Source organism: Homo sapiens, chromosome 9 (genome assembly GCF_000001405.40).
Source record: "Homo sapiens chromosome 9, GRCh38.p14 Primary Assembly".
Classification (NCBI taxonomy): Eukaryota; Metazoa; Chordata; class Mammalia; order Primates; family Hominidae; genus Homo; species Homo sapiens.
In genome coordinates, this window is record NC_000009.12 from 95,457,312 (window position 1) to 95,481,666 (window position 24,355).

Here is a 24,355-nt window from a genome sequence, read left to right on the forward strand (position 1 = left end):
ATGAAAACTCTCACAGACTAAACATTTACCTTTTAATGTACCTGCTGCACAGACTCACGGTGCAGACACAAAATCTGGCCTTTGTTTTTATAATTTTGGCATTTTAAAGGCTATACCATAGTTCACAGAATTTAAACATTGCCACGGTTTTATTAGACTCTACATGAAACTTACATCAAAATCTGAGAGTATTTTGGAGAAGGGATGCCAAAAAACAGGTTCGTAATATTAGTTTATCATTTTCCCCCAGGACTTAAAACACACAAAATCATTTTCTCCATATATCACTCTCCTAACTTCTCTGATTGTCCCTTCATGTTAAATGCAGAAGAACCTGCTATGTCGTTATTAGGCCTGGATGAGGTCACAAAATGACACTTTTCAATTAAAGAAAAAATGAGCTAGGCTTTGAGTGTTTTGATTTAATAAATGTTCAGAGCTGTGATGGAAGGTGTGCTTTAAAAAGTCCCCTATCTTTCCACAAAAATCTTCAAGCTACAGGAGAGAGGACCTACGAATAAGGCCATTAGAGGTTCTACCTTAACCATGGACCTCACCACCTCGAGTAGAATAAACATATTACGGATGATGCAAGCTATACCCTCCTCCAGAGGCCCAGACATAAACAAAACTTCCCGGCTGCAGAAAGAGCTATGCTGAAAGGAATTTGACTTCCACAAAGCCCCTTATAATACACTCACAATGATCCCGGCCGTCCAGGGGTTCAGAAGGAAGACAGCGCACACGAGGAATGTGCAGGCCAACACCACGCTGATGAACAGCAGCAGCCAGTGGCGGAGGCCGATGTACTGCTCCCAGAAGAGGAAGGGGTAGCCGTTGGGGTAACTGGACAGCCCCAGGCTCGTATAGTTGCTGCAGATGGTCCTTACTTTTTCAATTGCCTCCACAAAGTCTGAGGTGTCCCGCAAGCCGTTGAGGTAGAAAGGGAACTGGGCATACTCGATGGGCTCTGCTGCCGGGACTGGACAGAGAAGGGCACAGGTTAGGAGCAGCCCAGGGTAGAAGAGCATCACAGTTTCAATGGAAAGAGAGAAGAACTTTGCATGAAAGCTTACTGACTGCTCTTCTACATGATACAAAGAACAAACAATGCTGATCATAGCCTCCAGGCCTTTACGATCTTCCCATTTGGTTTAAAAATGTTTAACTCTGTGATGTGTGTATTTTTTAAGATTTGATTTTAATCTTCCAGCAGTCATTCTTTGTGAGGGGTCTAAAAACTCCAGGCTTACATTTTGGGAACATTTTTTTGTTCCCTTGACACATATGAAAATACCAAGTTCACACAGTTTTATTCAATCACTTGCAAGAGCAAAAGAACTCAAGAGTCATGCTTTCCTGAGAAAAATGCTTAACTTATCCTTTTAGTGCCTGAACAAACTTCAACCTTGTATGCTTCTTTTCTAATGCAATGCTAAGTCTTCAGCAACAGGGGAAGAAATCCTTACACAACAAGCATTTAGTTACTGCCGTTGTGTGTTCCAGACCCTCTGGGGTCATTCAGTTGACTTGCTAAACATGATTTGCCCTATTATAATCTCAACTATAAATTTTCATTAAGACAAGCCTTGGCTGCCTGCCACAGGGCTCTGGGCAGCACTGGATCCGGGGAAGCACTACTCGCTGAGTCTCCAGCCATGTTTGCAAGGGGACCCGTCTTCTTTCTCACATCCTCCCTTGGCCCGGTATCCAAAGCATACGCTACTAATATCTCCACCAGAAATGCAAATGAAATCCACACAGAACCACCTTTCAAACTCTGGGCTGAGAGGTGAAAGGAAGAGGACGCTGTTGTATACAGACTTTTCTGCTCCGGTTTAAACAGCTTTGACACAGTGCAGGTGCTTGGTGGCTTATAGGAATGACCCAATGTGCCAAAAATCCCTTCAACACCAGAGTTGACAAAGTTAAGATAAACATATAATCCCCAGCGATAAAACTCTGCAATAGTAAAATAACACTTAACCTGGAGGCGTCCCCGGTGTTCACAGGGAACAGCTGGCACGTGAGAGCAACGCCTAATGAACGTCTTAGCATTAAAGCTACGAATGGAGACGAGACACTGATTTCCCAATGTGATAGAGTGCGGGGGTTGTATCCCATTACACATCCTCGTCTCCCAGAGTTTTAAACGAGAAGAAATAGATTGTTCTGTTTACACTTCTGAACCCTGGGTAGCGTCAACGGATGAAGGCTGTTGCTGAGTTTGGAGAACCAGGGAAGGCACCTCTGTAAGTTCCCAGACCTCCCGATAAAACGCTACTTACTTCTCAGCCTTGTTTCAGGCATGTAGTCGGCTTTGTCGTGGACCCATTCTGGTCGGTGTGGCCGGATGTTGGCCTGGGAGGCAGCATACGCGACGGGGTCGTTGCTGACCCAAGCCGTCAGGTAGATGTAGAAAGCGCTGGGATTAATGATGCCATCTGCATCCACCAGACGCTGTTTAGTCAACTACAAAAACGGGAAGAACAGAGGCCTTTGAGAATGGGGTTGGGGGTAAACACACTTCTGCCTTGAGAGCACAGAAGCTGAGCTTCGCACAGCATTACAACAAAGAATAGAATGCCTACTGTTGAAAGTGTCGAAAATCCCATCAGAACACCTTTGATTTCTTTCAATGTGCACTTATCGGAGGATGCAATCACTGGCGTGTTTATAACAAACACAGTTCTGCAGATGGCCCAGGAATTGGCTGAACCAATTAAATCTGAATGCTAAAAGACCGTCTGCAGCCAAGGCAGAGAATGAACAATCTGGAGAAACATATTTATAGGAGGGGAAGGGGGAGAAACCTGGCAAGAATCCCCATGCACGTCTGTGTGCAGTTAACCTCTGTTGTTAACACTGAAGGAAATGCCACCCAGTAAATGGAGGAGAGCTATAAAAATAAAACAACATCTGTATAAATTTTGCTAACACTAGCCTCCTATGACCTGTGGATTCAAAAAATGCCCAGCGCCAGAAAGTGCAAGGGACGAGTGCACACCCTCAAGCCTCGCCAGGTGATCTTATTCCCGGAGGTCGTAGTACTCCGCACGCCGCGTCCTCTGCGTGGCCAAATGTGCTCCCTCGGCAGGAGGGCTTGTGGGCTTTGCTGAGGTGGGGAACTCTGTGGGACTCAGTATGTGTTTGTACGTTTTATATACATAGAAAAATTCCGTTTCCTGTTTATTTTAGATTCAGGCCTCATTCCTCGCTTTGGGTCTTTTTTAAACAAAATGAAAAACACCAGTGACAGCGGCTCCTAGAGAAGGAGTGAAGGAAGAAGGAGCAGGGAGAGAGTGAGAGAACTGGATTTCGGGGATCTGGATTCAATTAATCCACAGGATATGTAACAACTGCATGTCCTCAACACATCCCTGGAATCAAACAGCGCAGCCCGTGGCCTCTGTGCATGCAGCACGCCTTTCTCCCTCCCGGGAGGAGGAAATGGTATCTGGGGGTCTGGCCCAATCCCATTTGTCCCACAGTATCCCTGGTCCCTCGCCCAGCCCTGCTGCCTGGGCACTTTCCTGGTGTCTCTGAGGCAGACTCCTCTGCCTGCATCCTTGGGAAACGTGATGGTCTGCTGCCTGCTGCTGTGAGCTCAGAGTTTCACACTCCATAACAACTCTGAACAATGTACTTTGTAAATCTGTCACCTTGAATGCCAGCAAAAAAGGGGAGACAATAAACATAGCTGCTGAGAAGATCATTAGCATGACGGTTTTCTGCCTGAAGGTGAAGCAAGCAAGCTACAAAGAGCCAAGGGAAGAGGCTCCGAGGAAGCTGAGGTAGCCCGGGCCCCGTGCAATTGGAGGAGTCCAAAACACACTCCTGAACACACCTGCAGAACCAAAAGGGGTATGCTGGAATCCAAATGGCAGCAAGAAGATGCAAACACAAGTGGAGAATATGATTCCCAAACAGAAACGGTTATTACTGCAGGAGTGAGCAGAATGGCGCAGCCACTCTGATTCCAAGGGTGCACATTTCCGTTTGCTTCACTCATCACAGAGCGATCTGTCTACTCCTGGGGCCAGGGCCACCCAAAGATCTCAAATGTAACAAATCTTCCCATCCTTCTGTCACCTCTCCAATCTCCTAACCCACCCACCTACCCCAAATTCTGCTCATCCAAATGACTGCTACCCAAGAAATCCATCTTTCCAAGCTTGAATACCATCAAGACCAACAAGGTACCGAGTCCTAGAACTGAAAGAATCACACGCCGCTGCATTTCTAACATTGGAAAGAGCCTGCACTCTCTTGGCTGCACTTTATTCTGACAATTGTTCTGGTGGTAGGAACACGCCTGTCCCATTTGACAGATGAGGAAAGTGAGGTGCACTGGCTGGCCTGAGGTCACACAATTAGCTGGTGGGAGGAGGTGAATTAGAGTCACCCAATATTCTTTCTACCAGCTCCCAGTGCCTTAGGTCTCCAGAGAGCACAGGGTGGGGTCACACGCTGTCAAGCAGCCTCCACCAGGGCAGCGGCCCCGCAGCCCTGGAAGCGCCCTCAGTGCCCAGCAGCTGGAGTACCTGGCTGATGTCGATGGGCTTATCGCGGCTGCCGGTTTGCACCAGGAGTTTGTAGGCAAGGACTCCATCGTCTGATCCATTCTTGTAATTGTTTGGCATGATTTTCCCGGTTTCCCAGTCACTGTCAAATGCATCCTGAAGTCCTAGAAATGGCAAATGATTGTAACACATTATAACTCGCAGCCAGAAGGACCCTGGTCCTAGCGGGGTGGGCTGAGGAGACTGAGCAGGGCAGGGGGCTCTTAGACGTCCATCAGAAACACACCCTCTGTGTCCCACATCCACTTTGACTGAAAGCACTGGATCTTTCATGAATGAACTGCAGCTGCTGCCAGCCACTGCTCAAAAGGGGGGAAGGAGATTATCTGTTTCTATGAAACAAATACTCATATTTTATCTTAAGAAAAACCACTCTCCTCCTTTCGCCCCATGACAATTACAAAAGAAGGCAAGAGTGCGACGGAAAGACACGCACCAGGGTCATTAACCGTTTCGTGCCACTCGGGGTGCTAAGTCATGAGTTCTTCAATACAACCAGAAATTCCACACAGAGGGGAAAAAGCACATTCAAACTCCCCCAACTTCAAACAGCAGCTCAGCTGCTTCTGGAGCCCAGGGTGAGCGAACACGATTCTGTCAATTTGTTCCATCTGTTCGACTTGTGGAGCTAACACAAGCTGTGGGATCCGCTGCCAGGTTGTGTAAAGATCACAGCCAACACCTATTCACTCTCGACTGCTCTCTTCCTCTCTGCCACCCTTCCTCAGGAGAGGGGGTGGAGGAGAAGGAAGGGAAGGCGCTCGTGTGCACGCAGGGAAATACCTCACAGGGTAAATTTGGATCCGATTGAGAACAGGAAGCCACAGGCCAATACAAGGAGGCTCTGTGAGAACAGATGACAAACCACAAGCCGGGGAGGGGGAGGAAAGAGCTTTCTGGGCCTGGGGGATGGGCGAGCCCGCCAGCACACCACACACAGCTGCGCTTGGCCTCAGTAATCAAAACCATCATTACAGACCTGACGGTTTGGCTGCAGCTGTAAAGAGATAAGCATGTTGGAAGAGAAAACAGGGCCCCGGTGACCCGGCCTTAGGGTCTGAGCGCTGGCTGGTGCGCACGCTCTCCGGGACACCCCCCTCCCCCCACCCACCCTTGCCCCTCCCAGCCACCTCCCAAGTAGAGCTCCCAAGCCCCAGCAGCTCAGGAAACCACAGCTTTTGAACAAGCTGTACATGTATGGGTTGGACACGGCTAGTAAGAAGGGAGAAGCGTTTATTTCATTTCGGGACATGCCTTGGATGATTTCAAAGGCTTCAAAAAAAATCTGGTTGCGTTAGTGCTCAGAATGGTTAAGCTCTTGGGGTCTGAAGTGTGGGGAGGGAGGGGGAGCACAGGCCCCCTTCTGTCTCTCTAAGAAGCGAAACCCTCCTTCTGACACTACTGGCTAGAGGAACAATTTGGGGATGACAGTGGGCTCGGTGGTGAAAGGAGTCTGTGTCAGGGTGAGCGTGGAGGGGAGACGGGACAGGAGACCACCGGGTGGGCCGTGCACCTCTCAGACAGACGGGTTTTCATAGGGAGGCATGCACACACAGGGTACTGAGCAGATGTTATTTTATTACTGAAAGCCCTTTCTTTCTGTTTTTGAAAAACAATAAACAGCAGAAGAAAAATTACTGCGCCTCCTTTCCCCTCAAAAAGGGAGGCCTCGTCTGTTTTCCTCGCTGTAACAATTTTCATGATGTCATGACGTGTCCTGGGCTTTAAGCCCCTCTCCCTTAACCAGCTAATCCTGAAGAGAGGCTCACACTTGGTGAGTGTGGGGTGGCGCTGGGCATCCCACGGCAACCAAGGGACAGCCCCGTTAGAGTTAATCACTCCGGCTTCACAGATGGAGGAACTGAGTCTTGGAAAGGGGAGACTGGAGGGGGCCACCCAGCAGGTGAGTGTTGGATGGAGCTCAAACCCAGGCAGCAAGTCACCAGAGGCAGCTGGAGCCACTCACTGGCCTACAGTGCGGGGACACACCGTGGTACCCAAGGATGTGTCAAAGGCAGGAGTAAGACAAGCAGGTTCAACTCCAGCATCAATAACATCTGGTGGCAAACGGGGTCCCCAAAATCTGGGGGCGGTTTTATGATATTCACACACAAAGACTTCTGGGACACCCGAGGGTGAAACAAAGGAAGAAAGATCCTATCTGGGGAGGTCAGCCTTGCTGGAAACTCGATTCAACTCAGAATCCACACTGCTGGTCACTTAGGTGCCATTCACTCTACTGGGGGTTCAAAGATGAATACGAAACAGTCATCGACTTTCTGGAACAGTTAAGTTCTTTCCCCATTACTACAGTATTTTCTGACTAATCACCAAAAAGCTCAAGTAACAAGGGGCTGGCCTAAGCACATGTACAAGGTACGACCCTGGATACAAAACAAGGGATAAGGTTGGGTTTCCACTGCCCTTTAGCCAGTGCTTCATATTCCAATGCATGCACACTCTAGAAAATTGTGACTTTTTACTTATTTTACAGCAAACCTTAATATCTTAGCTAGAAGTTCTCCTCTTATGAATATTTTGTGTCAATAATTATTTTCTAATGTAAAGTTCTAGGCCAAAGGAATAACCCCAATTGCCCATTTTCCTTCAGCTATGGGACCCTAGAAGTAAAATGTTAATCAAAATTTTGTTTGCATAATCCAGTGTGAAATAAAAATGAACACATTTGTACATGACTCGAGGCATGGTTTTTATCTGACTCTGCCTTATTTGCATGTATGTTTTAAGATGTGACATGTGGGATAGTTTTGAAATTAACCATTATATAGTTTTAGGAGTAAAAAAAATCAAAGACAAACTATTGTAATGTCGATAAAGACCAATGAGATGACATAGTTTTAATGGGAATTCCATTAAAAACCAATGAGGCTCCCACCATTTAAAAGCCACACAAAAATGTCAGCAAGGAAAGCTGACTCAAGGATAATTGTTTCCTTGTAGAAAATGTTCAAACACCACATCAACCATTCAACAGGCCTGAAAAACGTGTAGGCAGCAAAGGGCTCCAGTGTCTGGTCATTCTGTGTTGAGTGCTCTAGCGGACCCTGTAAGAGTCAGTCATGGAGTCCCAGGGCTGCCTGGGACCCTGATTGCTTAGCACCAATGGATCTCACTTGGTCTAGGTGTATGCTGTTCACACAGCAATCAAAACATGATTCAAATGCACCTTAAAAAAAAAAACTCAACTCCAGCTGATTTACATCTATAAAGGAAGAAACGTATAGAGATGATCTACAATGCTCTATAAAAAGGTTAACCCTTTGCACTGCCTCGAGACAATCCCCCTTTACCCCCTTCCCAATCCCTGCCTAACATGCCACATTGAGCCTCCAGAGCAATGGCCAAAGACACTGAAATACACTCTACAATAACCCTTCTCTGCTCACAGACTGGCAGGGCACAGCAGATCTCTTTGTCATTTGTGGCAAGTTATTTATATGTCTTTGGTCAATGGGGGGAAAATGAAAGCAGGGACTCTCTCCACTGTCTCTCTTTTAACTCATTATCCCAAAAACCATTGCTTTCTAAACTAAATGTGAAAAATAAAACTTGGAACAAATTCACGTTCGTCTCAGGAGGGTGTTAATAAATAATAATCATGGCATGTTCTCTGTACCTTCCTCCAAAAGGAAAGTCAAATTGGGTGTACATGTAGACACAAAGTTCTGGTAAACACAAGTCAAGGCCAGAAGCTGTATGGAACCATCCTCTACCAACCTCAAGTTGTTGACCATTTCCTGCAAACTCTCAGGGAAACTGGCTGCTGAGTCTTTACATACAAGTGTATTGACTTCAGACCAAAAAAGGCACTTACATCTGTGTTTAAACAAGCCTAATTAAGTGGGAAATTAAGACAATCATTTGGATAATCCAAGCCAAAAAATGTTGGGGGCCATAATGATTTGGTACTCCAGTAAAAGTGTTTTGCTTGAATTGGGTGGATAATTATCCTGATTCTCTACTTGGCTTTGCATGTGTCAATGCAGAATAAATGAACAGATGTTCCTGGAATCACTGCATACATTTACGTGCAGTCGGTCAGGAGAAAATTTAGACTTTTTTTTCCCCTCCAGCTGATGAATATTTCCTAGAAACATTTCTAAGAGTGAAGAAGCCAATAAAGGCACTGTTATTTATTTATTATTTTTGGAGATGGAGTCTCGCTCTTGTCGCCCAGGCTGGAATGCAATGGCACAATCTAGGCTCACCGCAACCTCCACCTCCCAGGTTCAAGCGATTCTCCTGCCTCAGTTTCCTGAGTAGCTGGAATTACAGGCACCCACCAGCACGCCCAGCTAATTTTTGTATTTTTAGTAGAGAGCTGGTTTCACTAGTAGGCCAGGCTGGTCTCGAACTCCTGACCTCAGGTGATCTGCCCGCCTTGGCATCCCAAAGTGCTGGGATTACAGGCGTGAGCCACTGTGCCCCACCAAGAAAGGCATTTTAAAACAGAATTTAATTATTTATAAAATAATGTGAAATGTTACTAAGCATTTATAACTTTACTTCAAGTACCAAATCAAAAAATGGTCAAAATGAACCCAACCGTAAACTATGGAGCCTGGGTAATAATGTGCAGGTTCATCAGCTGTAACAAATGCATCCCTCTGGTGCGGGATGTTTACAGTCGAGGGGGCTGTGTGTGGGTGAGGAAGGGGGATATGGGCCATCTCAGCACCTTCTGCTCAATTTTCCTGGGAACCTAAAACTGCTCTAAAAACAAAGTCAATTAGAAATAGATAATTTTTAAAGAGATGGTCAAAATATGGAGTGTAAGACTATGTCCACTGCTTATCTAGCATCTCCTGGTGCAGTAAGCTATAATTTGGCAATCAGTCTGGAAATCCCAGCCGCACTTTGATTTTATGTGGTCACCAAACTAGCCACCGTCTATCCAAGAGGAAAGAGCACCAGAAGCCTCGGCTCCACCTGTTACAACATGCTCCCCTTTTCCTGACGTGCACTTGTACATTCTCACAGAAGCTCATCTGAATTATCTGCATCATTTTATAGGTAAAAGCCAGATCTGGGAGGCTGCTGCAGAAACAGTTCATGTAAGAATCTTGAGCAACTCTTAAAAGTCCATGAAACACGTCAGTGTTACATTCTAATCTAACGCTCTCATAATCATGACAAAGGAACCTGTTGAAGCTGAACACGCAAAAGACCGAAAGGACGAGAGCCTCCCACGCCGTCTTACCCTGAAGCCAGTCTCTGAAGTAGTGCAGCCACATTTTGGGAAGCTGTTTGTTTTCTTCCAACATGACATACTTCACGTTACTGAAACTCCTGTGTAGGTCGTAAAGTAAGTGCTGGATATTCGGGTAGTCTGCTTTCTGGGTGACTATATACATGTTGTAGAAAGAAAAGTATTTGAATTGTGCAGCAATAAAGTCATATTCTCTGGTTTCCCGAGGTACAATGTCCGTAAGGTCCAGCCCGTCTCTCACTCGGGTGGTGCCATAAAGGCTGACCCCCAGCAAGCCCAGAAAAAGGAAGATCACCACTACCTGGAACAGAAGAGGCACAAGGTCAGACCCCAGGGAGCACCACTGACTCTTCCTGGACAAAGAGAAGCTGTCTAGTTAATACCTTGTTTTCACCACCACACTTAAACTGATTTATCTTGTAGGGGTTGTTCTCCCATAGGAAAAAGGATAAAATCATAGTAATCGCATTTTTATTTTGTTTTGTTTTATATATAATTTTTTGAGACAGTCTTGTGTTGCCAAGGCTGGAGTGCAGTGGTGCCATCTCGGCTCACTGTAACCTCCACCTCCCAGGTTCAAGCAATTCTCGTGCCTCAGCCTCCCAAGTAGCTGGGATTACAGGTGTGCACCACCACGCCTGGCTATTTTTTTTTGTATTTTTAGTAGAGACAGGGTTTCACCATGTTGGCCAGGCTGGTCTTGAACTCCTGACCTCAGGTGATCCACCCACCTCGGCCTCCCCAAGTGCTGGGATTACAGGCGTGAGCCACCATGCCCAGCCTTGTTTTGTTATGTATCTGAGTTGGGATCTCACTCTGTCTCCCAGGATGGAGTGCAGTGGCATGATCAGGGCTCACTGTTGCCTCCAACTCCTGGGCTCAAATGATCCTCCTGTCTCAGCTGCCCAAGTAGCTAGGACTACAGGTACACAGCACCATGCCTTTTTTCCCCCTCTCTTTTGAGACAGGGTCTTACTCTGTCACCCAGGCTTGAATGAAGTGGCACCATCACGGCTCACTGTAGCCTCGACTCCCTGGGCTCAGTGACCCTCCCACCTCAGCCTCCTAAGCAGCTGGGACTATAGGCACATCACCATGCCCAGGCAATTTTTTGTAGAGATGGAGTTTCATCATGTTGCCTGGGCTGTTCTCGAACTCCTGGGTTCAAGCAATCCGCTGGCCTTGGCCTCCCAGAGTGCTGGGATTACAGGCGTGAGCCACCACACCTGTCCCTGGCTAATTTTTAAAATATTTTGTAGAGACAGGGTTGGCCTTTGTTGCCTAGGCTGTTCTCGAACTCCTGGCTCAAACAATCCTCCTACCTCAGCCTCCCAAAGCGCTGGGTTAACAGGCATGAGCCACCGCAAGTGGCAATAATCACATTTTTAAACAACCTCATTCATAAAAAGACTTGCTGCATAGAGGTTCACTCCCATGGAAGATGACCTCATTAAAATGGCCCTATGCTCTAAAAGCATTGACTTTTGGAGGACTGAAATGTATCATACTTAAACGAAATTTTTTTTTTTTTAAGGAAAAAGAAGAAAAGTAGAAGCAATCTGATGAACTCCAAAGGTTCTGTTATTTTTTTGAAGACAGGAAGAGCCTTAAGTTGTGGCAGATTACCTTGGCTTTTGGTTTCAAGAGGAAAGGAGCATAGTGCTTCTCAGCAAAAGATGAGAGTGTCCACTTCGTACAGGGGGGCTCGAGGCAGTGGAGGCTGGAGTCGGAGAACTGGGAGAGCAGGTCCCTTGTGGAGCTGGTGCTCTCTGGGCTCTGGCAGCTGAGGGTGTCCTGTGTCACGGTGACGGGCTGCACAGAGATCTCGGAGCGCGGCTCAGCGGTGGTGTAGTACACGTGCGTGTGGGGGTCGTACTCCGTGCGGAGCTGGACAGTGGACTGCATGGTAATCTGCGTTTCATGGGCAAAGCTGTGGCTGCTGTAGGGAGGTGGGGGGCTGTAGCGGGTATTGTCGTGTGTGTCGGTGTAGGCCTGAGGTTCAACCTGAATCACTCTGCTGACGCAGGGGCTGAAAGGAGGGGAAACATGTTGCAATGTTATGCTGAAACAGGGAAATGGTGCTTTCATTCTGCCATTTTTCACTGTGTACGGAGAATACCCATTTTACACAGCTCTGACTTAGGAGAGAAACATCACATTGCTGAATTCCAGAAACATCGCCTGGTTGATAACATCACCTGGTTCATCGCCTGGTGAACTAGATAAAAGTCAGTCTGAGGAGGCCACATGGAGGACTGATCCTAAATTTGGCTTTCAAAAGCAAGTTCCATGATGATGAATCCTTCAAAGCACAATTCCAAACAAAACCAAACCACCATCAAAGGACTATATATTTTCTAGATGGGTGTTTTTCAATCTTGTTCTGCTCTAATGCAGAGATATGAAACATTCCTACAATCGGCAACATCAGTTCATGATGGAAAAAGGGGTCATCGGAACCAGCATCTTGAGGGCTGTGAGACTGTTCAGCTGCGGCAGGGGAGAAGGAAGCCCAGGGACTCTGATGTCCCCCTAGGGAAGCAGCCTCTGTCCAATCTCTCCCCTACGTTCTCCACACCAGCACAAACCCCGTTACCCACATTCCTTTATAAGTCCACAGGCTGAAAGAGTTCTCTCACAGCACCATTCTGCACCCAATCAAAAGGCCACAGCAGTCTGAAAATGTACCTTGTAAAACAGCAGAAAATATCCAGTCTCCTGTCCTCGCGTCGATATAAATCCATGCTGAGAATTGCAGGAAAAATGAGCAGAACCATGGCAAAATTGAACACCACTACTACCGCTGCCTGGGAGCAGAAAAAAAATTCAGAGGTCACCAACATGCCTCCGCCCAATCAGAGGACTGCTTCGAAAATAAAGATGCTTTTAAACAATATTTTTCTTTCCCTTTCCTCTTGAAGCATTTGAAACCGTGACAGATGTTAAGAGTTTCTTTTGCTACATCATCAAGAGCCTATTTGATAGGAATAGTCTTGACTGTTTCTGGGCCTTTCTATCTCTAATAATTCCATAAACCGATAAGGCACAAACCTGGGAACTAAACTACTAACGTGTTGCTAGTAACCTAACCAAACCAAATCCACAAAGGCAGAACAGAGAGCACACTCGAGATAGAATTTAAAACAAACAGAAGCAGTTCCCTTCCAGAATGCTTCCAAGAGGTCACGCGACCCTGATTTTACAGTTAAACATTTTTATATAAAGTGGATCGAGTATATCAAAATGTCCCCCTTTAAAACGTGAAATACAATTTCACACGTGTCCCCTGAGGTTTTAATAGGCACATTCCAAATTGCCTCTGGAGTAGCCTGTGGGGTGTGAGAGCAAGAAACATAAAAGGTCAAGGAGAGTTAAGCAGAAAGAAATTCCTGTGTGTGATTATAGTACGCAGAATAAATAAGTACAGATTCAAAAGTCACTCCATAACCTAGAATAAACACAGGGCTAAATTCTGCAGTGCGTTGGCAAATCTTCTGCTGACCTAGTAAAAATTACAAAATTGGGCTGTTAATAGGGGAAGCCAACAGAAGCCGGTGGAAGTCGACCCAGCTCGGAAGGGCACGGCAGAAGGGGCACCACAGAGAAAAGCACTGGCAATGCTGAGGAGCCAGGAAATTGCCAGACATGGCTTTGAAAATAAAAAACGAGGCCAGGCGCGGTGGCTCACGCCTATAATCCCAGCACTTTGCGAGGCTGAGGTGGGTGGATCACGGGGTCAGGGATCTCCTGATCAAGACTATCCTGGCTAACACGGTGAAACCCCGTCTCTACTAAAAACACACAAAAAATTAGTTGAGTGTGGTGGCACATGCCTGTAGTCCCAGCTACTTGGGAGGCTGAGGCAGGAGAATTGCTTGAACCTGGGAGATGGAGGTTGCAGTGAGCCAAGATTGCACCACTGCACTCCAGCCTGGGTGACAGAGTGAGAGTCTGTCTCAAAAAAAAAAAAGAAAGAAAGAAAGAAAGAAAATAAAAAACGAGGCTTCTCAAAGAACTGCTTAGTTCACAAATCTCAAACTGATAAACGTCCTAGGGTGAGGAAAGAAAACCTGGCTATAACTGCCACCTAACACAATCCAGGGAGAACTTCCACAAAGGGCTTTGGATGGGAATTGTGAGTTTATGCTGAAGGTGAACCAGCAAGCCTGAGTTCCGGAGAGATGTCTTCCAATAATTAATTCCCTCTCAAGAGCGTTCTTCTAAAAACTACCTAACCTCTTTCTTCTTGGTCTATCTTGAAAATCCTTCATCAACTGAAAAATATGAAGCATGTTAGCTTACCACTCTAATGTATTTAAGACCTGTCTGATAGACCTACACAAATAAGCTCATCACCACTGTGACAAGAGAATTTACCTGAGAAAGAGAGAGATCTTTTAAAAAGAAAAGTCTAGTACTGTGCTGGGTGCTGGAGACACAAAGATAAATAAGACAAAATCCTACTCTCAATTCTCACAGAGCCAGACCTATACACAAATGACAATCTCGAATGATGGATGGCGTCATGAAGGCAGGTGTCAGGCTGCAGAGCAGCTCAGTGGGGTGGAGGGGTGGTCAGTCAAGGCAGGCTTCCCGGGAGAGGCTTCAGCAGGGTTTATAAGATGAAAAAGAGGGCCGGGCACAGTGGCTCATGCCTGTAATCCCAGCACTGTGGGAGGCCGAGGCGGGCAGATCACCTGAGGTTGGAGTTCGAGACCAGCCTGACCAACATGGAGAAACCCATCTCTACTAAAAACACAAAGTTAGCCAGGCGTGGTGGCGCATGCCTGTAATCCCAGCTACTCGGGAGGCTGAGGCAGGAGAACTGCTTGAACCCAGGAGGCAGAAGTTGTGGTGAGCCGAGATCGCACCATTGCACTCCAGCCTGGGCAACAAGAGTGAGACTCCGTCTCAAAAAAGAAAAGCAAAAGAGATCAGTCAGGAGCAGGGGAATGGCAGGTGCTCCCTGTGAAAAAAACACAGAGTGTGCAAGAGGAGACACCTGGCTCAAGCACCTCAGTACTGCTGGGGTTTGAAATTCACTTTGGGGAAGAGAAAGGAGAAGCTATGAAGATCAGATCGTTCATACCTGATTCATAGCAAACAGGAGGTTCTCACTGCTCTTGACAGTATTACCTGATAAAGTCCCCGAAGTGCGGTCAAGTCACCTGCCTGAGGTTATCCAGTAAATCAGATCAAACAAAGACTTGATGCCAAGCCCCTAGCTCAGCTGAGAACCGGGAGTTTTGTGAGATCTGGTCCCTTACTGAGAGGACGTCTGTGGACGGGGTTAGGACACCTGACCGTGAGACAGCAGGGGATGGCAGGAAGAACAGGTAGGATTCTAACGGAGATTTTCCAGATGTCATCCTGGGGGCCGAATCCTTTTAGCTTTTAAAATCAGTCATGTTTAGAATGGAGGAGTGGAATGTAGAGAAGAGACCCTGGGCATCCCAATTTGGACAGGTGTTCATGAGGATGAGGAGAGCAGAGGTTCGTGACACAGGGAGCCCCACGGGCACAGGCATGGGCACCAGCCGGCCTCATCGGTCAGAGAAGCCTGCTGGGCACCTTGCTCCGTGTCCATGACGGAAATGAAGGGATGAGGGAAGAACCCCAAGCAGCGTCCCATCTTACTGACTTTCTCATAACCTACTACATGTATGGCGGAGTATTTTCTCAGTGCCAGGTCCCCAGGTGTACACCAAAATAGTAAAACAACCAGCAAGGGCTGCTCAGAAAGCAAGAAGGGTTGTCGCAAAGGCAAGAGAGTGTAAGTAAACCAGAGAAGATGATGGGGATGATACTGCAACTGTGAATCAATTCTAGTTATTGTACTCATAGGAAATGCCCCATCCCCTCAAAGCAGCTAAGGCTGGGACACATGCAGAGGAGGTTCCACTTGAACCCTCCTAGACCAGACAGAACAACAAGGGGTTCTGTTCTGTGAGTTTTCATTGAAGAATAAACACTACTGGGCTACCAGCAAGCCCTAGTTAATTACAAAGAATTACAGCTGATGCCAGTGATTTCTGGTGTAGAGATGGCATTTAGGCAGATGGATAAAGGCTGATGAGGTTTAAGACAGTTTCCTTGTGGAAAAAAATATCTAATTATTTGGTCAGGCTACAAAATTGGAGGAGTTTTATATGGAAAATTCTGAAGGTAACGCAGGTTTACTATTGGACAGAACCGCCTTGGGTCACTCCCTTTTGATGTTTAATCTGTAGCATCTTGCAAATATAAACACAACTGAACACCCAGAGTCAAACCTGATACTGTTCATCAATGGAAAGAGAAGCTACATAATGGCCAATTTTGAGGGTCAATACATTTAAAAGAGAACCAGGGAAAATTTTCTGATGGCCACTGCAAAAATCATTGCACACTCTCTCTTTTCTTTGCATTTTCTATCCTATTTTTTTTTTTTTTTTTTTTGAGACAGAGTCTTGTTCTGTCACCCAGGCTGGAGTGCAATAGCACGATCTCAGCTCACCGCAACCTCCGCCTCCCGGGTTCAAGCGATTCTCCTGCCTCAGCCTCCCGAGTAGCTGGGATTACAGGCGTGAGCCACCGCGCCCGGCAAATTTTGTATTTTTAGTAGAGACGGGGTTTCACCATGTTGGCCAGGATGGTCTCGATCTCCTGACCTCGTGATCCACCCGTCTCGGCCTCCCAAAGTGCTGGGATTACAGGCGTGAGCCACCGTGCGAAGCACTCCTTTTTTCTTTTGACAGAGAATTAACCAGTGTCATGAGGAGGTATTCTTCAGTAAGATGAGGACTCTTGGAAGCTATAGTTGCAATTTTCTACAGTGATACTGTGGTGCTTTGAAACAGAAACACAAAAACCAACAGTACTCATTTTTGTCTCTGTAAGGTGCTTACCTTGGGAGAATTTAGCGCACTGGATTTTCTACAAGGCTACTCCTCGTAAGGAAACCTCATGTAGCTTTTCAGACCACCACACCACAGGGTATCATTAAAGGAGAGTCGGCCTCGATGAGCCATCAGTATGTACTAAGAGAGGAGAGGAGAGAATGAGAGAGAAAAGAAGAAAAGAAGGAGTATGAGCAGATACAGAAAGACAGTGAGCAAAAAGGCAAGCAGAAAAGAAGGGGAGAGGAGAGAGAATGGGCAGACAGGGTCCCATGACTAAAAGACTCTAGAACAGTTTCTCAATACCAGCACCGGCTGCACGTGAAATGAGACTGGGGTACCACAGGGTGCTGAGCAGACACACACCTGCGCACAAAGGCATTCTACAACTTCAGCTGCACTGCGAGTCTGGTTCACCTTTCATGCCACTGAGCAATCAGAGAGAGTTTCCTTGTCCTGTGCTTTGGTTCGAGCATCAGATCTGAACGTTATTCATTGATTCACTATTTTTACTTCTATATAAATTTATAATATAAATAAACCCTGTTTTCTTTTCTTTTTATGTTTCTTTTGGGGCTGGCGGTTACGGTAATTGGCATAGAATCTTTTCTCCAGCTGTGCCTCACACTAAATACTAAAGATGCCTCCATTCCCAAACCCAGTAGGATCAGTAGTTGCCCAGGCCTCTTGGTTACTAGCGAAATGACATTCAAATACGTGATTGATTGGTTCCTCTTACATGACAAATGGAAAGACTAGGAAAGAGCTAAACATATTGACAAAATATAAACAGAAACCAGATGCAAGACTGGTCAATTTCTCTTCCTGCTCGCATCTGCAGGAACTCTTGGTGAGTAGAGTAAAGCTGTGTGAGTGTGCCGGGCATCCTAACAACAAGTGAAAAAGTGACACAGAAGTCATTTCCTTTAACAACCTGGCCAGCTTGAGAATTAGACATCATATCATCACAGAGAAAGAAAGGGGAAACAATTGAGGTTTTGAAATTTGAAATTAATTCACAAAACCCCCACAACATCTTGAGATATCAAAACTCCAGGCCACTTTGCGCTCAGGAAGACCATGGCACAAACTGGTGAAGTCTCTGCTTTACTGGCTGCAGTAACTAATTTTAGGATTCCTATGAATTTCAGGTAGCTCAAGGGCAACGTCAGTAATTTACTCCAGGCGCAGAACGGACTACAGCTCTATCCCCATCCCAGGGAACTGTCCATGCTTACAATTCACAGAAGCTGAGTCTGGATTAGAAAATACCCTGACGGCCTCTGGGGGTGACGGGGCCTGGTCTGGAAGGAGAGGACAAGTCACGAGGGGCCCACGTGCTCTGCATGGGAAGGTGAGAGGGATCATGAGTCTGCTTGGGCAGCCTGAGAGGGGAGCAGGGGACCAAAAGGAAAGAGAAGAGGGGACAGGAAAGATTGTGGCGGCCAACTTAGGAAAGGGAGGTGGAAAGAAAGGGCCCACCGAGGCGGACCCTGCAGGAAATTCTCCACAGAGCCTCGCCAGTTCGCGGTCCTGCAGTGCCGTCTGACATGCGACCTCAGCTTAATACTGTCTTGGGTTGGGGGTGCTTTGGCAAAAGCGAAAGAAAAGGTAGCCTGTTTGGGATCAAGTGGGCAGCGGGAGAGGGGGTAAGTGCAGGTACTGGGAGTGGTGTTTGGAAGCAGGGGATGGCCCAGAAGCTGGCTGCAGCGCTGGTGACCCCAGAGGGCAACATGGAGTAGCCCCGAAAGCCATGCATAAAGGACATGGCCACTCTATAAGGCAACAGACGTCTGGGCTTCATAGGGCTAGAAAGGAAGGAAAAACTCCAGAAGGGCTTAGTTTTTTAGAGGGAGTGTCAGGGTTATAAGCTTAAAGCAGCATCCACCCAGTTAAACAGAGCCTCAAACACAGGCATTTCTATTTCACTTCATAAGTAACTGAAGTGCCTTAGCAGAGACCGCAGACATGGGATGCTGGAAGTCAGTGCCCCGTTCAGGATCACCACAGCCTTCATCACCAGAAGCTCACCTGGAGGGAGAACGCCCGCAGAGCGGGAATTGGGATTAACGCGGCCATGAAGAAGGCTGTGACATTGCTGATGGACGTGAGGGCCACGCTGGCTCCTGTGCGCTTCAGGCACTCCCCGGTCCTGTCCTGGGAATAAAAAAACACAGCGCTGAGAGCTGCACTGGACATGGTCCCCTTGGAGCACAGACTGTGTGAGCAGATACGTGGCAGAATAACACAACTGTTATTACAGCTTATCATGCTGGCATTAGGGAAACAGAGCCACCTGCCTTACCCCCTAACACCAGCATTATTCAGTACCATCTACAGAGTCATCAATTCTTCATGGTTATTACCATCCAGAGAAGAAAGCTGCAAGATAATGACTTAACGCTTAAGTATAATTTTAAAAGGGAGTGGAGGGAGGTGATGGCTAAGTGACAGACATCTCCAGAGAAGCAAATGCAGGCTCTGGGAATGTATGGCAGTTAGGGATAAAGTGTCACATTAAAACAAACACCCGTATTCCTAAAGGCACCCGAGATGCAGCTCTTGGGACTTCTCATAGCAAATACATGTCCTGAGAGTCTTCCAGCTTATTTCATTGACTGGCAGCCAGTGACACATCATCTGACATGGGACTGAAATCTTTACTGGGTCAGACTGAGGAAAATTAAAGGACAAATACTTAGGAACAGAGGAAGCTGTGATGTCCCCAAAGCTCTCTTCTTTTGTTTTTGCATTACCTCAAAAGGGATTCTTTTATTCTGTCCTGTTTCACTGAAGGCGTGGGCCAGAAGAAAAACATCATCCACACCAACACCAAGAGCGAGAAATGGCAAAACCTACAGCAAAAACAGAGGATGGTGGCATTAGACATGCGAGATGCAATTCAGATGATTCTAAAGCTAGTTAGGACTCTGCCACCAGCACCTAACAGCTCCTGAAGCAGGGCTTCCGTAACCTCATGGTGAAGAATTCACTTGACGTCCCAAAGCCTAGCCATTTCAGCTCACAGGAGATCCTGCACGTTTCTACTTCGAAAGTCAGTGTACTATCATTTTTTAAGCTAGTAAATGAGAAGGAATCCAACTCATTTAAGCAATGATTGGCAGAGTGTGGCCCATGGACCAGCATCACTGGGAATTGCCCTGAAGTGCACATTCTCAGCCCCGGCCCCAGACTTACTGAGAAACTCTGGGGGTGGGGCCTGGCAATCGGAGCTTTCACAAGCCCTGCAAGCCATGCAAATGCCCACCAGAGCTGAAGAGCCACAACCCTGGTCAATGACATACATTCCTATCAGCCAAGTGTCTCTACTAACCAATAAGCCCAACAGACTTCCTACCCACTTCCCTGAGGGCGGACAGCATCAAGAGACAGCATTCCCCTGAAACCAGTAGCATCCTAGTGGAAAAGGCTGCAAGACCCTTCCGGTGAGAAGGACACACAGCACACAGGAGGCTGGCTGGGCCAAGCCTGGGGGCCGGGTGGCATTTGTCAACGGACAGCAGATAAATGGCTCCTTTAGTACCTGAGTTGTTGCAGCGTTAAAGGAAATTCCGATCAATGAGCACAGGCCCAGTCCTGCAGCCACTGACAGTGCAACCAGCAGGACGCCAGCCAGCCCCACGGCACCCTGGGACTTGGAGCAGTCCCAGCGCAGCATGGTTAGACAGGCATAGGCGAGCTGCAAGCAGAACAATGGGGGCACAGAACAAAAGCCGAACATTAGAATGTGTTGTGATTCTAATGTTTCCCTCCACCCATCACCCCAAATCAAAAGGCAGAACTTATCCAACAACAACAAAACTTTACATCAAGGGCGTCACATAAAATGACAGGAGTCAAAGGTAGGCAAACGGCAAATGGGAAAAATGCTTTACACGACCACTTTTAAACCACTGTGAAGCCACGCTCTCTCTGTCCTGGATGCACATCGATGTTAAGAGCAGTTAAGAAGCAGGAGCAGTCATGGAAAAGTAAAGACTAAAACAACCAAACCAAACTCCAGCCCCCAGGAGCATGGCATCGAGCGTTACCATGAGTAAGTAGCCGCTGGCCACGCGGATGACACTGACGTCAGAGAAGGATTTCAGGATGTCGTCCAGGGTCGTGGTGGTGAAGGAAAGCACCTTTTGAGTGGAGTTCTGTGCGACACTCTGATGAACCACCTGTGGTCACAACAGAATGCGAAATGCCCAAATGCAATGAACACTTCCACAAGCCTCGACAGCACAGATCTCAGGTGACACAGCGCAGCCCTTCTTTTTTTCTGATGCATTTTTTAAAAAAGTTCTACGTGATTCCAGGGCAGGGAGAGAAGCTGAAGTTGGGCTAACATTAAAGAACCCTGTTTTAGGACAAGGGCCATGGCTAATCAGTGGCAGTGGGTGCTGCTGAGGGCTGGTGTCGCTGGAGTTCACTCTGAGTGCTGTATTTACTCCAGGGCTGAGACTGCTCGTCTCTTCTCCGTTAACTTCACAATTGACTTGCGGTCCCATCGGCTCCCCACTAATCCAAAACAACTCATTCTTATGGCCCTCCTCCCCCTGTTCATTTGCTGGCCACTTTTAAAAGGTCACATGCAGCTCAGTAGAGGTCACTGCTTGGGAAACAAAGGCCAGCTCCTGTCACATGACCTGACCAAGGGGCCTGCAGCTGTGAACAGATTCTATGCCTTGCTAATGTTTTCCAGACACCTTTGCTAACCAAGTGTTTTTTTAAACACTGTTATGTGCTTTAGTTCTGGAATTCACAACTGGTTACTAAACATGTCTCAGGGCACCCCAATTAGAACTAGTCTTTTAGATATTATCCCAGGATTTTCAATATCAAAGAAGAGGAAAAAAGTTTTCATCCCATCAAGTTCCCAGAATTGCAATGTTTTGAAAATAAAGCGAATGGAAAGAAATGTTTTAAATAATGGTGAAAATGAAGAATTGCATAACCAGCGAGTCTGCACGCCGATTCGAAGGTGGGTTTACCTCCACATATGTCCTCTGCCAGGCCTCCAGGATGGCTGCCGCTTTGTCCTCGTTCCAGTTGATGTGTGAGACATACTCGTACCCCTTGAAGTGCTCGTACATTTGCTTGGGAGTCATTAACTGGAACATGGTCTGCAGGGCATGGGCGCTGCAGCACAGTCCAAGGGAAGGCACATCATCAGTATTCCCAGGAAGCAGTTTCCACTGCCTCAAATCCCCAGCCAGCTCCCCCAACTCACTGGCTGCAATTCTTTTCCTTCTCTGTGAGCACATGTTTCCATTAAAATGGGACCAGGATGGTTATTTTATTTAATAGATTGATGTACCATATTAAAGGTATAACCTTACAAACCTTTTACAGATATACCCCAAAATTAAATTAATAGGCAATTTCCTTTCACAGTTTCCATTCCATGAAACAGGAAGGGGAGAGGAGCAGATAGCTTGAACAGATACACCGGGCTCAGTGACGCATACTTGCTGTGCAGAAATCCCAGACGGTGGCGTTCCCAAGGGAGAAATCTTACACGAAACGCCAGACACCTGACTGACCAGAGTCCACAAGTGCACAAAGGATAATTCTTATTGAGCCGCTGGCTCTCCATCTTTTGCTAACAGTCTATGACACTGTGCAGCTCGCACCACCAACTCTCTCTGACCAGTGTGTCCCGGCCTACTTTACACCTGCTCCCATTCTCTACCTAATGGGCAGATCTCCTTAAACCCTATAGTCAGGAACTATGGTCCTGATGAAAACTACAAATCCATTCTTGAAAAATTCCCCACAAGGTGCTTTTTCAAGCTGTTGCAGTCTGCTACTATTTCTTAATATTCTATGACGCCACCTGGCTAGCGAGGATAACGGTTTAAGTATTAATACAAATACACTTGCCGATGTCAGGAGGGAAGTGGCTTTTGAGGAAAGGAAGAAGACTACAGGGCATAGATTGTCCTCGGGAGCTGGCTTACCTGACGAGTTTTCCAGTGCTGTTCTTGACTGTGCCACCCACAATCAACTCCTCCTGCCAGTGCATATACTTTCTGGATAAGCCATGACATCCACCATTCAAAACAAGGGCCATATCAAGAGGCTAAAATAAAAAGACAGCCACATAATTATGGGAATTAGTAGGCAGGTCACATGCCTTGTTAAAATCCAGTGCATTAAGGGCTTGTGTGTTTCAGAGAGAACATTAATAGCAAGGCTAATGGGAGGTGTATGGCAAATCTTACAGCAAAATTTAGCTCTATAAATAAACTTAGTTCCATAGACAAAGACGATCATGGAGAATGAAATGTTAAAAATGAAAATAATAAAGTGAACGATGAATGGACACAAAAAAGTGTTTTGCTCTCCACCCTTCTGAGAGCGCTCACTGCTGGTACTCACTTTGGTTGAATTTTTGTTGGGGGCTGTGGCGGGGCAGTCTGGATCGGCCGGATTGAGGCAGGGGCGGTCCATGTAACCATGACCAACCTCAGCCTTATTCAGCATTTCCTCCCAGCTGTCCACTTGATAGTTTATTTTCTTTAACTCTTCCAGGAATTCCAAAGGGTCGAAGTTTGTCCACCGCAAAGGAGGTTTACCTCTGCAAAAGAAATTAGGAGACGAGACCATGAAAAGAGCCTTCTAAACGCATCGTAAAGTAACACGGCTGCGCCCACTGCATCCACCTTGTAGGAGGTTCCTGGCAATGCTGCAGTTCTGGGACTCTGGCATCAAAACAAATGCTCCTTTCCAGCATATCTGCATAAAAACTTAGGTCAGGAAAATAATTCATGACTGAAGATGCTAAGCAGAGAGAGGACTCATAAGTTAATGAGGGCACTGAATAATCTTTAATTGCTGATATTGTATATTTAATATCTACATACAAAATTAGCCAAAAAGACAGATCCAAAATTAAATTTTTTTTTTTTTAAAAAAGAGGGCGTCACAATATCAAATTAGCACTTGGCAGCCAAATAAATACTTTGTAAATGTCATCAATCAAAATATTTGATCTCTGCTACCTTTAACAATCCCATACTTATGAGCGCTCTCTGACAGCCTGGCAATGGAATGGGCAAGCCCCCTGCAGCCTCTGCCATCACCACCATCACAGCCACTTCCCCCCACACTCACTTTTGAATCTGTGCTGTTGACAGACCAGAAAGGCTTTTGGCTGCCTGTTATGTGGTTCAAACCACACTGTAGCTGCTTAACCAGGCTGAAGTCATTATTCGGAATCTCCCAACCAGAAAACACAAAACCCCTTATTTCCCATCTAAAACTGTACACTGAAGGTCAGGGGATGGCCACTGCAAATTGCTTTTGCAGATATGTGCAAGCCAGGACAGAAACAATAACCCAAGCTCTCACTCTTGCATAATTAACTGAAAATGTCTATGCTGATTAACAATTATTCTCTAAATGATGCGGTATATATAATATCCAACTGCTAAACGGTGAAACATTCCCTACTGTGGCCTTCACAGATAGTGGATTTCCCCCTTAAATGCCATTAGTGTGATCTAAAGAAAGGTTAGCTTTTTACTTCACAGGAAGATCTCAAACTCAAAATATTTCATTCTGATGTGAACCCACTCACTAATAAAGTCTCTCCTTAAAAAATAAGTGTCTAAATGCCTCGTCTTCGAAACTACGAACATTTTAAAGAGTTAAAA

The 24,355-nt window shown here is 46.5% G+C and overlaps 1 protein-coding gene and 1 long non-coding RNA gene across 10 annotated transcripts in view, besides 4 other annotated features; one reads left to right on the forward strand and one right to left on the reverse strand.

Moving 5' to 3' along the window:
- PTCH1 (patched 1) overlaps positions 1-24,355 on the reverse strand; it is a 73,992-nt gene that overhangs the window by 14,332 nt on the left and 35,305 nt on the right. For 7 of the 9 annotated variants that reach the window (NM_001083603.3, NM_001083602.3, NM_000264.5 and 4 more), the window contains exons 6-18: positions 23,079-23,277; positions 22,658-22,779; positions 21,689-21,836; positions 20,744-20,875; positions 20,236-20,391; positions 19,448-19,546; positions 18,723-18,848; positions 12,502-12,620; positions 11,440-11,842; positions 9,805-10,114; positions 4,545-4,687; positions 2,289-2,472; positions 702-982 (exon numbers count right to left, since the gene is read on the reverse strand). In NM_001083603.3, the coding sequence (NP_001077072.1) occupies positions 702-982; positions 2,289-2,472; positions 4,545-4,687; positions 9,805-10,114; positions 11,440-11,842; positions 12,502-12,620; positions 18,723-18,848; positions 19,448-19,546; positions 20,236-20,391; positions 20,744-20,875; positions 21,689-21,836; positions 22,658-22,779; positions 23,079-23,277 (2,422 nt within the window). The remainder of the gene's footprint in view (positions 1-701; positions 983-2,288; positions 2,473-4,544; positions 4,688-9,804; positions 10,115-11,439; positions 11,843-12,501; positions 12,621-18,722; positions 18,849-19,447; positions 19,547-20,235; positions 20,392-20,743; positions 20,876-21,688; positions 21,837-22,657; positions 22,780-23,078; positions 23,278-24,355) is intronic. The other 2 variants (NR_149061.2, NM_001354918.2) reach the window with 2 other exon arrangements.
- Positions 4,876-5,739: an enhancer, noted in NCBI's record as "H3K27ac-H3K4me1 hESC enhancer chr9:98224469-98225332 (GRCh37/hg19 assembly coordinates)". NCBI's record gives its function as "activates a minimal SCP1, AML or CMV promoter by ChIP-STARR-seq in primed H9 embryonic stem cells {active_cell/tissue: H9 hESC(primed)}" and the evidence as "EXISTENCE:reporter gene assay evidence [ECO:0000049][PMID:30033119]".
- Positions 4,876-5,824: a biological region, named in NCBI's record as "H3K27ac-H3K4me1 hESC enhancer GRCh37_chr9:98224469-98225332".
- Positions 5,685-5,824: a silencer, noted in NCBI's record as "silent region_20066". NCBI's record gives its function as "represses an Ori minimal core promoter by ATAC-STARR-seq in GM12878 lymphoblastoid cells {active_cell/tissue: GM12878}" and the evidence as "EXISTENCE:reporter gene assay evidence [ECO:0000049][PMID:35858748]".
- Positions 5,976-6,477: an enhancer, noted in NCBI's record as "H3K4me1 hESC enhancer chr9:98225569-98226070 (GRCh37/hg19 assembly coordinates)". NCBI's record gives its function as "activates a minimal SCP1, AML or CMV promoter by ChIP-STARR-seq in naive H9 embryonic stem cells {active_cell/tissue: H9 hESC(naive)}" and the evidence as "EXISTENCE:reporter gene assay evidence [ECO:0000049][PMID:30033119]".
- On the forward strand, positions 6,298-12,708 carry LOC100507346 (uncharacterized). The gene is made up of 4 exons (NR_038982.1): positions 6,298-6,486; positions 9,618-9,909; positions 10,021-10,135; positions 11,348-12,708. It is a non-coding gene; the product is annotated as an uncharacterized LOC100507346 (long non-coding RNA).